The sequence below is a fragment of the Homo sapiens genome, chromosome 1 (assembly GCF_000001405.40).
Source record: "Homo sapiens chromosome 1, GRCh38.p14 Primary Assembly".
Classification (NCBI taxonomy): domain Eukaryota; kingdom Metazoa; phylum Chordata; class Mammalia; order Primates; family Hominidae; genus Homo; species Homo sapiens.
The window spans coordinates 233165331-233181110 of NC_000001.11; the positions used below are offsets into that span (position 1 = coordinate 233165331).

At 36.3% G+C, this 15780-nt stretch overlaps 1 protein-coding gene across 8 annotated transcripts in view, besides 2 other annotated features; it reads right to left on the bottom strand.

The window, feature by feature from the left end:
• PCNX2 (pecanex 2) overlaps positions 1-15780 on the bottom strand; it is a 343895-nt gene that overhangs the window by 181896 nt on the left and 146219 nt on the right. For 7 of the 8 annotated variants that reach the window (XR_001737430.2, XM_047430870.1, NM_014801.4 and 4 more), the window contains 2 exons: positions 13736-13845; positions 12472-12568 (listed from right to left, as the gene is read on the bottom strand). Coding sequence is in view for 7 of the 8 variants with exons in the window: in XM_047430870.1 (XP_047286826.1) it covers positions 12472-12568; positions 13736-13845 (207 nt within the window). In the remaining variant the exon portion in view is untranslated. The other variant, XM_047430873.1, reaches the window with a different exon arrangement.
• Positions 13815-15014: an enhancer, noted in NCBI's record as "MED14-independent group 3 enhancer chr1:233314891-233316090 (GRCh37/hg19 assembly coordinates)". NCBI's record gives its function as "activates an origin of replication core promoter dependent on BRD2, BRD4, P300/CBP and CDK7 cofactors, and independent of MED14, by STARR-seq in HCT116 cells {active_cell/tissue: HCT116}" and the evidence as "EXISTENCE:reporter gene assay evidence [ECO:0000049][PMID:35650434]".
• Positions 14344-14533: an enhancer, noted in NCBI's record as "active region_2737". NCBI's record gives its function as "activates an Ori minimal core promoter by ATAC-STARR-seq in GM12878 lymphoblastoid cells {active_cell/tissue: GM12878}" and the evidence as "EXISTENCE:reporter gene assay evidence [ECO:0000049][PMID:35858748]".

Consider the following 15780-nt stretch of genomic DNA (forward strand, 5'->3'; position numbering starts at 1 on the left):
ATCTGGAGACATTTTGGTTTTTACAATTTGAGGAAGGGAAGAAATAATACTGCCATTTGGTGGCTAGAGACCAGGGATGCAGCCAAACATCCTACAATGCACAAGACAGCACCCCCAACCTCCACTTCCCTGCAACCAGGGAAATATTCTGAGGCTCAAAATGTCAACAGTGCTGAGGTTGAGAAACCTTAATGGAGTGGTATCTAATTGTGGTTTTAATTTGCCTTTTCCAATGACTAATGATGAACATATTTTCATGTACTTAATTTAAAGTACTATTTATAATAGCACTAAAAGTATATTTAGGGATAAATTTGAGAAAAAAAGTGTGCAAGACGGAAACCACCTAACATCAGTAAAGAAATGAGAGAAACTAAACAGATAAACTAAATAAATAAATGGGGAGATATACTGCATTCCTGGATTTGAAGATTCAGTATTGTTAATAAGTCAATTCTCACAAAACTGATTGATAAATTCAATGAAATTGTAATGAAAATTCTAGCAGAATTTTTTTTAGAAACGAACATGCTAATTTAAAAATGTACATGGAAATGCAATAGACCCTAGAATAGCTAAAACGACTTTGAAAAATAAAAAGTTGGAGGACATACAATACCTGGTTTCAAGGTTTATTACAAAGCACAGTAACTATGGTATTGATGGTATTGGTGCAAATACACATCTAGATCAATGGAAAAGAATAAAGTGTCCAGAAATAGGCCACAACAGATATATGACCAATTGATTTTCGACAAAAGTGCAATGGTGAAATGACAAATCCCCTAAATGAAGAAAAGGATAATCTTTTCTATGAAAGGTGCTGGAACAATGGAATAGCCAACTATAAAAATAAATAAATAAATAAATAAATTAAATTAAACAATAACAAAAACATCTTGATACTTTGCTGCACATACAGTAATTAACTCAACATCATGAACCTAACAAACCATCAAACTGCTCAAAGCAACCATAAGAGGAAATCTTAATGATCCTGGATTTGGCAAAGATTTCTTAAATGGAGCACTAAAAGTTGGAACTATAAAAGAAAAAATTAAATAAATTGGACATCACAAAAATGTAAAACTTTTGCTCTTCGAAAGACACTTACAAAAAGGCAAGCCAAAGACTAGGGAAAAAAAAATTACTACTCATAAAACCCACATTCAACAAAGGACATTTACCTATAAACAAACAACACCCTCCTACATCCCCAGCTGCACATGATAAAAAGTTCTGAACAGACGCTTCACTGAAGGAGATATACAGATGGCAAATGGTAATTACTGAGCTTTTTACTCTTGATGCTAGTTAATGAAACTAGACTGCTCTCCTAATATTGCTGAAAATACCATCAGCAAAATCAAAAGGAAACAGTTGTTTTTCCCCAAAGCCACCAAAAAGCAGATATTATTCTGCTCCAAAAATTTTATCCTGGAAAATAATATATTTTTTTTTGGTGGGAATGTAGATAGGTGCAACCCATTATGAAAATAATATGGAAGTTCTAAAGAAATTTAAAAATAGGCCAGGTGTGTTGGTTCCCGCCTGTAATTCCAGCACTTTGGGAGGCCGAGGTGGCAAGATTGCTTGAGGCTGCAAGTTCAAGACCAGCCTGGGCAACATAATGGGAACCCATCTCTATATTTAAAAAAAAAGATACTAAAAACAGAACTACCACGTGCCCCAGCAACCTCTCTTCTAGGCATATACCCAAAGGAAATGAAATCACCATGCCATAAAGACATTTGTGCTACCACGTGTATTGCAGCACTGTTCACAATAGCCAAGATGTGGAAACAACCTGAGTGTCTGTCAACAGATAAATAATGGATAAAGAAATTCTAATATAAATGTAAATGGAATATTTTTCAGCCTTTATGAAAAGAGACATCCTGCCATTTGCCACAACATGGATGAACCTGGAGCACATTTTGCTAAGCGAAATAACCCAGACACAGAAAGACAAATACTGCGTGATTTCACTTTTATGTAGAATCTAAAGAGAGAGAGAGAGAGAGAGAGAGTCAAACATACAGAGATAGAGAATAAAACAGTAGTTAACATGGGCATGGGGGAGGTAGAGATGGGGATATGTGTGTTAGAAATTATAAAGTAGCAGATATGTAGGATAAACAACTCCAGCGATCTAATGTACATGAGAACTATAATTAATAAAACTGTACTATATTTGGGATTCCTGCAAAATAAGTAGATTTTAGCTGCTTTTGCCACAAAAACAAATAAAAATGGGTAACTATGCGAGATGATGGATATGTTAACTTACTTCACTATAGTAACCATTTTACTATCTATAGGTACCTCATGACATTGTGTTATATACTTTAAATATACACAATAAAATCTCTTTAAAAAATAAAAATATCTTTAAAAGGAATCTTGTAAAACACCTGAACTTCAGAGCTTGCTACTGTGTCCTGTGAAAGCAGCCTTTAATAAGCTCTAAAAAGTTTGTAACTTTGGTTGGTTTTCTTGTTAAATAACTTTTTGCTCATTTAAATGTATATACCTTTCCACCTTCTATAAGATATAAATATATGTAGGTTTTTTCAGGTAGGTATATTTTATTTTGATCTTAGTTTTGTAATATAAAAAGAGAATTTACTGGTACTGCCCTCTTCCTTCACGTTTGAAGGTTAAAAAAATCTGTGACTCTGTTAAATTACTTATCTAAAAAACAAGAGTTTAAGTATCTGTTTCCTTTTAATAAATGTCCTATGTCTTAATAGTGAATTCTACTGTGTTAGATATTACAAAAATGAGTGTGAAAGGGAATATACTGCAAGATGGAAGCAAAAAGCAAATTTAGGTCTTTGTAATTTTTATTATTCATTAAGTTTCCCATTATAGAATAACACAATAATATTGCAGCACCCTAGAACATAGAGAAGAGAGGGGAAAATCATTCACAATCATTATAGCCTGACATTAACAGTATTAGTATTTTTGTGTTTTCTGAGCCAGTATTTTTCCTGTTGATGTTAAACCAGGCTCTAGCTATAATCATTATGTATATGAATATTTCTATGCATATTTTATAAGTATCTAATCTTAGTGTGCAAATAATTTTCTACCTTTTCCACAGTATTTTCTTTTGTAAGCTATATATATATAATTGTATAGGCTCACTAATATCATTTAGTGGTTAAATAATTTTCCATCTTGTGATATCATACACATACAATGCCATAGTGATCACTCAAAACATTAATTTAGTGAATGAAATTGAACGACTCATAGTGCAAACATCCCTTGACTGCTACTATTAGGTTGCCTTCCATTGTTTACCATGATGAATTATGCTGAAATCATTATCTTTATATACTAATTTTTTTTCATATTTTGAATTAATTTCCTAGAAAAACTCTAGCAAATACATTTACTCTATCATAGGTTGTAAGCATTTCACAATCCTTGATAAATTATGCTTTTCCAGATGATTATAATAATTTACATAAACACAAATGATGTCTAAGAGATTTCATCTTGACACAATTGGCACCATCACTAATTTTTCCAGTGCTAATGATGTGTACAAAAAAAATGCCACCTCATTTTAATTTGCATTTTTAAATTCATAATAATGGTAATTATTTCATACATTTACTTAATTTGTTCCTAAATTTTATATAAAATTTCAAATGGCTTCATTTTGGAGCTCAGATATATACATATTTGTGTACAATTATATACAAATGATACACATATAATTTGCCTATAGGGTTTTAAAAATCAAATTATAAGGGTTGTTGGTATTAGAAAGATATTTAACTTTCCTAAGTTTGCCACAAGTACTGTATCAAATTATTTAAATTTTTCCACCTTTTTTTACATACAGAAGTTTAAAATTTTTATGTTCTTAAATCTAACTCGGGGTATTGTGTGTGTGTTATTTATTTTATGGATCCTAAGTCTGAAAAATCATTTTCTCTGTATATTTTGGATAAATATTTGATTTTATTTAATATATTTTTTGAAAATTTATTTTACTGTTTTAAAATGTGACACAGGGCCGGGCGCGGTGGCTCACGCCTGTAATCCCAGCACTTTGGGAGGCCGAGACGGGCGGATCACGAGGTCAGGAGATCGAGACCATCCTGGCTAACACGGTGAAACCCCGTCTCTACTAAAAATGCAAAAATTAGCCGGGCATGGTGGCGCGCGCCTGTAGTCCCAGCTACACGGGAGGCTGAGGCAGGAGAATGGCGTGAACCCGGGAGGCGGAGCTTGCAGTGAGTCGAGATCGCGCCACTGCACTCCAGCCTGGGCGACAGAGCGAAACTCCGTCTCAAAAAAAAAAAAAAAATGTGACACAGGTAACCATAAATTGCATATAATAAGTATGTACAGTTTAATAATTATAAAGTGAACACCTCTGTAACCACCAACTAGTTCAATTAATCTAACATTTCCAGCATCCTAGAAGCTTCTTGTATGTGGCTATCTGATCAAAAATCCTTCTCTCGCCTTCTGGAGGTTCCCATCAACAATCCTGACTGGTGAAAATCATTTTCTTGCTTGAAAAAAAAAAATGATTTCACTACTTACGACTTAGGTATGCAACTGTAAGCTGTTTAATTTTGCCCATTTTTACTCAATATATTGTACCATACTATATGCATTATTTTGTGTCTTGCTTCCTTTGCTCAACATTACGTGGTTAAGATTCACTCATGCATTGCATTTAGCTGTAATAAGTTTATTTCCTTTGCTGTAGAATACTCATTTGGCACTTTCATGAAAAGGTGCTATTATGAACAATTTTATATGTGTATTTTGGTGCAAATGTGCAAGATTTGCTCCAGAATAAGTACCTAGGAGTAGAATTGCTGGCTGCAGTCTATTCATGTCTTAAACTTTATGTTATTAAACTTTTGTCCAAAATGTGTATACTAATTCACACTCCCACCAGCAATACATGAGAATTCTCTTGCTCTACACTTGTCAACACTTAGTACTCTGAGAACTTTACATTTTTTTTAGTCTGGTAGTTTTGAAATGGTGAGTCGGTGTGATTTTAATTTGGAGTTTTCTGATGATTAATGAGGTTGCCCATATATTCATGGTTTTTGGCCATTTATATTTCCTCATTTGTGAAGTGTATGTACAAGTCTTCTGCCTATTTTCAATGGAGATATCTGGTTTTCTTATTGATTTAGAGGAATCTTATACTCATCTAGACACTAGTCTCTTTTCTGTAAAATTTAAAATAATAAATCAAAGGTCATAATTTTAATTAATTTGAATCTTTTGTGTTGTTTTAAAAAATTATTTCCTACACTGCTATCATAAAAGTAGTTTCCATTATTATGACTCTAAGTGCTTTCAGGTTTTATTTTCTCATATTTAGGCTTATAATTTACCTGGAATTGACTTTTAAGTATAGTATGACATATTAGTCCAATTTCCTTTTGTTATTTGTGAATCACTTCTATTTTTTAGTTTTCCGTTTTTCCCTCTGTTTGGATTTGGAAGCTACATGCTTTGTTTCTATTCCTTTAGTAGTTGCACAAAACATTCCAACATGCATACCTAATTTATCACAGACCAAAGTTAATGGTACGGGCTGAGCAGCCCTCATCCGAAAATCCGAAATGCAAAACACTCCCTTCCTTTGTGCGTCACGTTGGTGCTCAAAATGTTTTGGATTTTGAAGCATTTCAGGTTTTGGATTTTTGAATTAGGGACATTCAATCTGTATCTTTATTCTTCTCTTGGACATTACGAAGACCTCTGACGACTTGAAGTTCATTTCTCCTCTCGTCTAAACTTGTTTATTATTATTATCATGTATTTTCATTCTACCTTACATTTTTTAAGCCAACTATATAGTCTTATCATGGTTTAATGCAGTTAATATTTACTCAGGTTTGCCAATGTACCTGCCACTTTCTTTTCTTTTTGTTCACTTGCAAATCAGATCTTCCATCCAAGACCACTTTTTTTTTTTAAATCTTTTTTTTTCTCCTCAAATTACTTTTAACACAAGGTCACTTTCTACTGAAAAATATCTTCAGAATTACATGTAATGAGGGTCTCTGAGCTTTTGTTTTTCTAAAATTTATTTTGCCTTTATCCTTAAAAGATATTTTCACTAGGAGTAAAGTTCTAGCTTGGTAGTTACTTTCTTTACACATCATTAAGTATATCCAACAACTGTCTTCTGGCTTCCATGAGGGCTCTTGATAAGGGAGCTTGCAGCCTCTCATCCATTTGAATGAGATCTGTTCATTCTGTTTACCTGCTTTAAGTTGGTCTGTGTGCTTGGCATGCTGCATTTTCACTATGGCTTGTCTGGTGCGGATTCTTTTTTCTTTAATTTACCCTACTTGTGATTCACTGAAATTCCTGAATCTCAAGATAAGTGTCTTTCATCAATTCTGGTAAACTCTCAGATATTATCTCATCAAATATTGATTATGCTTCAGTCTCTCTCTCTTTTTCAAGGAATTCTGATTGGATATATTTTAGATTTTCTCACTCTATCCTTCAAGTCATTTCTCTTTCAAATTTCTTGATTTTTTTTCTTTTGTCAATTAGTGTTATGTTCTGGGTACTTTCTTCTCTCCTTATCTTTCAGTTCACTAATTCTCTCTTCAGAGGCATCTAATCTCCCATGTGTGGGGTGTGTGGTGGTGTATATTTCAATTGATTCATTTGTTTGTTTGTTTGTTTAGGAAATTCTATTTGGCTCTCTTTCAAACATGCTGGATTGTTTTAAATATTTTCTATGGTCTATAAATTTTAAAGCTTGCCTTTTACTTCTTTAAGCATCTTAAGTATAGTTGTTTTAAAATCTGTGTCTGATACTTCCAATATCTGAAATATTTGCAGACCTGTTTCTGCTGGTTCCTTATTTCCAAGTTTAGGTTAAAATTTTTTTATAGTAAGCTGTGCATTTTCCCTAAAAAAACTGGTTTGGGAAACACTTGGACAAGGCAACCTTCTAGAAAGGATTTATGTTTGTTTCTGCCATGAGGCGTTTCCAATTGGGTACCACGTTAAATGTCTTCATAAATTGAGGGATTTGGTGCCATCTAGTTGTTTGAACTTGTGCTGCAAATCCATGCAAACTTATGACTTCTCAAGGATTCTCTTATTCTGCTCAATCATGAGGTGAGTCTGCTTGCACTTCCTGGTGTGGAGGGTGGTAGAGCTGACTTCCTGAGGATCATCCTCACTCTGAGAGTGTGGCACTTTGGTGTCCCAGGCTGATGATCCATGGTCTGGCATTGGACACCCACCTGGGCTTCAATTCCTGTTCTCCATAGTTCGAGGTCTGAAAAACAAGGCTTAAGGTCCCCAGGTTGGGCAAATGCTCTTGGGGCAAAAGCAGCTTCCTGCCCTGCTTCCTCCAGGTACTCCTGTTCAGTAAGATTTTAAGCTGATAATTCCTTATTATTTTGTCAGGTTTTGTTACATTCAGGAAGAGTTTTTTTGTATTTTATTCAGAATTTTTAGTTTTAATCAGCAGTAACCTGCCATAATATCAGAAATGAAAAAGTCCCACGTGACTTTCCTCGTTTTCTTTTCCCTCTTCCTCTCTCTCACTTTCTGAAACTCTTAAATCCCTCTCTCATTTACATTGGTGTCTGGCGAGGGACTAGCACATAAGATTCATTTTTCTTTCCCACTGCTAAACAATTACCTCAACACTAGACTCTGAAAATCAATTTTTGATTGTGACATTTAATTTTGACATAATACATTCATAAAAGAGTCTGTCTCCTTTCTGTGTTTTTCTGATCCACTAATCCCATTCTCTGATCTTGGATAGTCTCATACTTTTTTCTGATTATTCAGTCTTCACTCTTTTTTTTTTTTTCTCTTTTTAAAGACAGAGCTTCACTCTTGTTGCCCAGGCTGGAATGCAGTGGCGCGATCTCGCTGCAACCTCCACCTCCCGGGTTCAAGTGATTCTCCTGCCTCAGCCTCCCAAGTAGCTGAGACTAGAGGCATGTGCCACCACACCTGGCTAATTTTGTATTTTTAGTAGAGATGGGGTTTCACCATGTTGGCCAGGCTGGTTTCGAACTCCTGACCTCAGGTGATCCACCCGCCTCGGCCTCCGAAAGTGCTGGCATTATAGGTGTGAGCCACCATGCCCAGCCCAGTCTTCACTCTTAAATCTAAAAGTGCTAAGTTCCTTTTTCTTATGCTTCTTTCTCAAGTTTTTAAAAACTATTAGCTGCTATTCTTCTAAAGGAACCTTAGAATCATTTATCAATGTTGGGAATATAATGCCTTTGGAACTGTTTTGAATTATATGAAACCTACAAATTCATTAGAAAGAATTGGCATTTTATAAATCTCAGCCTTCCTATCCAAAATCAGGTTATGTCTATCTCCACTTATTCAGAACATCATTTACATTTTAATAAACTGCGGTAGTTAGTTTACTTTATTTGTGACACTACTTGTTAGAAATCATTTCCATTATCAATTCAGACATTTTGTTGGTATTGTGAGTTGGATCACATTTTCATAGGTTATTTCTGGTATGTTAGAAAGTTCTTGCTTTTCTAAATTTTCTTTTCTCTGGTTGTATTTATGAATACTCTTATTAATCATAGTTGATTATATAGTATGCACAGAAAAGTTTTATATACACATATAAATCATCATTTTTTTCTTTTTCTCTTTGCTCTTTACTCTTTACTATTTTGCTTTTCATTTTATATATACATAAAACAAATATATAATTTAAATTTTATATATAATATATAAAATTATATATAAATATATTTAATTTGTATATTATATATAATAAATTATATATTATATGTAATATATAACATATTTTATATATTATATAGTATTATAATAAATATGTATTTAATTTATATTATATATTATATAAAAATTATGTTATATATTTAATTTATATTTTATATAAATTATATATAATATGTAATATATAATTTATATTTTATATAATGTAAAATAGCAAACTATTAATATTATTGAATATTGTTTTAGAAGTTCTGGCCAGTGTAAGGCTGCAAAGAGAAAAAAATGAAAAATTTATATATAAATTTATATATAAATTTTTGGATTTATGGTAAATCCGTGCATGTTTAACTAAGAAATATATTAGCTTTTCATATACTGAACATTTTAAATTCACTGTGGCATTTTATATAGTACTTCACACTCCAACTCTCAAAGGAAGCTTAAGAACCCCTGTTCCAACATTCCACATCTAGCAGCATGGGACCAGAAAAATCTAGATATTATAACCAATGATTTAGGAAAAGACTGTTTGAATTTTACACATAAGAATTAAATAGGCTTTTTTTTGTTTCTAGGAACTGAAGAAAATTGATACAGTGAAACAAACAAATCTAAACATAATAAAGGGTGTTGAAAATGACAAAGATATGAAAGTTAAAAGAGTCTGTGCTAATAAGACAAATAGAAAAAGACTAACCAGGTAAACCATTAGCGGAAAGTTTATATCTTTATTAAGTAATGAATTTTGGTGATAAACTTTGTGTGCATAACTTATCTTGCTCATATGCAAATGTATAGGCCCATTGGTATATCTCTGTTTCTAGATCAATGTTTCCTGAAGTGCAATCTGTGGATCACCTAAACAGAATCACCTGGGTGAACATTCTTGTTAAAATGAAGATCCTCAGACCCCCTCACAGGCCAGATGAATCAGAATATGGGCAGAGGGCTAGAAAACTGAAATCTAATGAGGCTCCCTGAGGGGTTCTCATACAGACTAAAACTCAAGAAGAGAGACAGACAGACAGAGAAAATAAGAGCTGGAGACACAGAGAAACAAAATCAGAGACAATGGGAGGGGGGTTTATGCTTGCACAGTGTCACAGAAGGTATTATATCAAACTCTAAAAGCTGAATGTGATATTCCCATTAAAATATTATAATTAGGCCAGAGACTTTTCAGAGAAATGAACACAAACATCTTATTAAATCACCTAACAAGTTATGTGCTCCACACTGTACAAAGCATTTCAAAGGGTATGAAAACCAAGGGAGGCAACACCTAGCCCATCACATCTAATTATACCAATGAAATACTATCAACCTCTGCTGGGCAAATTTCTTGTCAAATTTCCTTGTAATTCCTACCTTTTTTTTAACTGCAATAAATCAGAAAGTAGAAATGCATCTTCATTAGTCATGAAATCAAGGAAGATTGAAGGGCATAGTTTTTCTCAGATATCCATGGGGAGACTTTTGGGTAGACTCTGGGCCACCCTACGGCTTTTACAGAAAATGCTGTAGGAATGTCAGTTTGACCTTCTCCCTGTAAGTCTCCTGGTATAAATATTAGAGGTCAGGTTGTGGATGCTAGGCTTATGTCAAATATTTCTCTTTTTTTTTAAGCTGCCATCTCATCAGGCCCAGCTGCTTTGACTTTTAACCTGCTTTTAAATGTATCTCTGCTCCTAAAATTCATGAACTATGCCCTTACTCATATTAAGTGATTTGTCCTTTGATTCCCTTGTAGTGGAAAAAAAGCCTTAATACTAGTTTGAATTCTGACCACACTCAAAGGCACAAAAGCTGAGTATGAATTTTTTTAAGGCTATCATGTTGGCTGTGAGTCCTGTACGTCGTCTTGAAATGGCAGACTGCAATTAAATTCATCGAAATTCCATGAACTGTACTGAGCACCCACTGTAACACCGGGCACTGGCTCTGTGGATATCAAGACAAATGAGACACAGTCCTGGCTGGATCAACAGACTATTTCTCTTTTCCTTTTATCTGTCATTCCTAAGAAAACCAGGAAAAGTGTGAGTCAAGGACATCAGAGGCTCCAAGCTCAATACTCAGATGTATGGGAGCTTACACAATTAATGAGCATTGTGTTTCAAAGTATGAATGTTTGTAAGTTGATACCAAAGAAACGACATCTGCTAAAAGAACTTTTGAAGCTGTCCAGAGCCCTTATCCTGGTGAACAAGGAAATGGCATCATTATTTTATAGTTGTAGGATTCTCTTGTTCCTTCCTTTCTCTCCTTCTTCCTTTTCTTCTCCCGTGCTCCACCCAGTGTGGTTGCCCCCTTCTCTGTGACCCAGCCATAAGTCTAAAGTCCAAGGGCCCCAAGCAATCGCTATGCAGACATCAACTTTGAAAGAATGCTCTGAACTAAGCATGGTGCTTAGGGGAGAAGATGTGGAGAACAGCTGTGTGTGGACCACATCAGGAGGGCAGGTTGGCTAAACGTTTATCTGACAAGCTTTCATTTGTGCAGAGCCCACCTGCTGTTTGGTGCCAGCAATACACAAAACGGACTGAATGTGATTCATGTGACTATCCTGGCAAACTGCAGCCACCTGAGGGCCACCTAAGTGGCCACACCATGTGTGCACAACAGCCACCATCAAGATGCTCTAGGCTGGGGGCGGTGGCTCACGCCTGTAATCCCAGCAATTTGGGAGGCTGAGGCAGGCAGATCACGTGGTCAGGAGATCGAGACCATCCTGGTTAACACGGTGAAACCCCGTCTCTACTAAAAAAATACAAAAAATTAGCTGGGCATGGTGGCGGGCACCTGTAGTCCCAGCTACTCGGGCTGAGGCAGGAGAATGGTGTGAACCTGGGAGGCGGAGCTTGCAGTGAGCCGAGATCATGCCACTGCACTCCAGCCTGGGAGACAGTGAGATTCTGTCTCTAAAGAAAAAAAAAGATGCTCTAAAGGGCTTGTAAAAAAATAAAGTAAAGGTTCCTCTTCAAAGACTTTCCTCCCCATTTAATTAGGAATAAATAGTAACTTCTCTTAGAAGCAAAATTTATTCAAAGACCTGTGCTAACATTCTTAAATATCTGCTAGCCGTGATAAAGAAATCAATGTACTTTATGTTCTTAGCTCCCACAATTTAGCCTAAATACTTGCTCTGGCATGCTTATACTGGTCCAAGCAAGCATTAGGTCATAGCCTGATCCTCTTCCTTATTTAAAGGTGTTTTTACCTTTCTTAGCATTCCACAAGTTACTTCCTCCTTCCTTTGTTCTCCTCTACCTTTGCCTCTTCTAAAAAGTTCTAAGTTGCTAGCCAATCGGGACAAATATAGAATGTGAGGCCCCATTCCAGCCAATGGAAACCGGACACAGCAGTAAGGTGGATGTGTCAGGTTATAAATGACCCTGTCTCCTTTGTTTGGTGTACTCTCATGGCAAAACTGCTGGCGAGTGTACCCTTTCTGCAGAAAGTATAAAAATGGCCTTGCTGAGTAAGTTAAATTTACTTTCAAGTGATATTCTTTACAGCACCGGAGAGCAAGCGTTTCAAATAGGGCTGCACCTGGCAGGCAGCTCAACAGCCCAGTGTGCCAGGTACCAAGCGAGGTGTATCTTTCTGTCCTAGTCCTTCTCATGTCCACCTGCCTAGAGCTCCATTGAGAGCCTGATCTCTGCTGAAAGATGAGGCCCTCCTATGCTACATTACACAACGCAAATGTCTCACCACTGAATCTTTCATCTTCTTGGGGAGAGGGTCAGCAGCTGACTCTGCCAGATTTTGATGTAAAAATTTAGGAAACAGCCTGCATTGGATGAAGGACCTGAAAGTGGAAAAACACAATACTTCATCAAAGATGTTCCTGGGACAGTGTTTTCGGTAAATAACTTCACCTTAGATCTCACACCCACACATGACAAAAACAAGTGCTCTCTTCATTTAAAAATTTATAATAAAAAGAGGTGCATGTTCAAGTGATCATAAAGATAGTGTTTTGATTTGTAAATTTCATCCTAATGAGAGCAGTCAAGTACCTTAGCAGTATCATTGCCCTCTATTGTCAGCAGTGGGACATGGGGAAGGTCCTCCATCTCTGCTAGCCCACTAGGGCTTCATCTTCACAATTAGCAGCAAAAAGTGAACATTGCACTAATACAATTGACACTAAAAATTGTGTGAACCATGTTTAACTTTTGTTTCCCCCATTTTTCATGCCTTTCACACTACTGCACCTCATGGCCTAAAATTATGGTGTCTCTGGTCTTCAAAGAGTTACGGTTATCTTAAATCAAAATCTTTCATAAATTTAAACAAATTACATAAGATGCTACTGTCAATATCTTAAACTCACTGTGGCATCACATGAAAGATTTCCAGTGCCAGAGTACACGTTACCAAAACTTAAAGATATGATTAAAGGGAAGATTGTAATGTATACTTTCACATTACTAAGCATTACATTAAATACATTTTAACACTTTGGTGCAAATTTCACTTTAAATCCAGAGGACGTTGGCCAGATTGGGAACAACAACAACAACAAAACAATAAAATCAAACAAAATCTTTCTTTTCAGAGGTGCTGGTTTAGTCTCCCCAGGGTAACTGCCTAGAGTAAAGGCAGGGATGTAGTTAATGGATCTAGAGAGGGTATTGTTGAGGAGGCAGCTTCTTACCCAGCTCACCCAAGGGAAAGTCACAACAGGGCTTGGGTGCTATCGACCCTCTGTTCCTGCCACTGTGCATTTTACTCCAAAATCAAAAGAGCAAAACTAAAATGTTTGCTAGATGTTCATTTTTAATTGTTATTAGTTTCTGGCTGGTCCTGTATTTCTCCTTCCCTCCTCTAGTGAGTGACCAGCTAGTTTAATAATGAGAGTCAAATCACAATGGGCAGTGAATTGCTGTCTGCCCATCTCAGTCAGGGCACAAAGCTGCAGGAACTATGCCCCCAGCTCAGTGATGAGAGAGCACAGGCATAGACCACTCACATGAGTACAGATGGGTCACTGCTCTGACGGCTCAGATGGTAAGAAAGGGCGACCAAGAGGCCACAGAAGGCCGAAAACAGTGCCGGGATGTGTTGCATGCTCCACGGTTCCTAAAGAAAAGACATCAGTTAGCCAAGTCACTCCACAGCTGTGTGAATAGCAGGATCTCTATCAGACATTTAGAAATATCCCCAAGGTCCAGCTGGATGGATGAGTTATTCCCATGATTATTCCTGCCCACGGACATATAAGCATCTGGTGGGCACACAAAAAACTCACCTGTTGGTTTATAGACATTGATTTTGATAAGGAACTTTTTGACTAATTATACATACTTATAAGAATAAAACTGAATCTTTCCTGAAATTAAGCTTAGAATGTTCTATAGAATGTAATATTAAACATGTGTCCCTCCTCTGAATTCAATATAATAATTAACAATTATAATAATTGTATTTCTCAATGTTTATTAATTGATGGTCTAAATGGCATAAAAAATGTAAAAATGACATAAGAGATTAAATAGACTAATGAACTGAAAACCTGATAAAGATTGTAGAAAGTAGAAAAGTTCCTCTTCAAAGCTTGTCTTGGTTTAAAAATATAATAATAGACACTAGGAATAATAGCTTCTTACTCTAAAGCCTCCTATCAACTATCAGTTCTTACACTTTAGCCCAGTTAGTTGCTTTGGCTTACTCAAGCATGTCTGGACAGGCCCAGGCAAGTCTTAGCTCATAGCTTATGCCCCTTCCCTATTTGGAAATGTTATTGCTTCCTTAAACCTTTCATGAGCAACTTTCTCTTCTTCTTTGTTCTCCCTTGCACTTACCTGTTTAAGAAAGTGTTAAGCTATTAGCAAATAGGGTATCTGTTTAAGACTGTGAGGTCCAGCTCCAGCCAATGGATGCCAGACACAGCAGTAAGGACGACCCAAATGTGTAAGGGATAAATATGTCTGCTTTTCCTTTGTTCAAGCGTGCTCTCGCCATTGTTCCATCTGCATAGAGCACCCTTTCTGCAGGAAGTAAAAATGGCCTTGCTGAGAGAATTAAATTTATGTTCGAGTGCTATTTCTTTGTGGCACCAGGGAACAAGCATTTCTAACAAAGATTAAAGATAATCACCTGAGGAAAGAGCAAAGTTATTTGAAATGAAAAGAGGCACTTCAGGTTTAATTTGATAGAAGCACAGATGTCAGTTATCAACACATTGTATTCGGCCTGGCAGAGCAGAACATGGGAAATACATGTTACCACCCCAACCAGTGTGGTGGCCTGGGACTCCAGCTCCTCTCCCACACACACCTGGTGCTCCCACCAACACAAACATGTCTCTCATACACCAAGAAGAAAACATCTACATATTTAATCTTCTCAATCACCATCAGCAGAATCACTGATGCCTTCTGAAAGCTGAATTTAGTCAAGAACTTAAATACTTTTCTGTCAAGATTTTTTTTTAAGATGGGTTAATTGTGGTGCTTATAATGAAATCTACAAATGAATGAGTCAAGTGTGCTTAGCAGTTGTCCACTGTAACTGCTAAAATAGTCTGGAAAAGCAAATGATACACTGGATAGAGCAAGTGATTTTATTTTTACATGCTTCATTTTCCTAGAAATTAAAATGTATTTCTTTTATCTTCCCCATTGTGGAAGTCTAAACGCCCGAGAGCAGTACCTGTAAAGCAAATTGCAGGGAGCTGAGTCTTCCTGAGGCTGCTGAGCTGCATGGCTACAAAGTCAGGAAGTAAGACTCACTGCCTCCAGACGCACTCTCCACACAGCTCCCCACACCAGGACGCCCTGCATGCCTCTCAGATCAGCTTCCCCGAGGGTGGGGTGCCTTTTCCAGCACTCTAAGGTACCATGTCTGCATTTATTATTTTTCTAATTCTGTGCAGATGTCTTCCCCACCAATTTTGCTGAAAAGCTCAAACCCAGTGATGAGGCATCCTGCACGGACCTCTTCTTTCTTTGGAGTTTTCATCAGCAACGCCTTCCCTTCCAGTGTCCAAGGGAGAGGTGTACTTCCTCCTTCCCT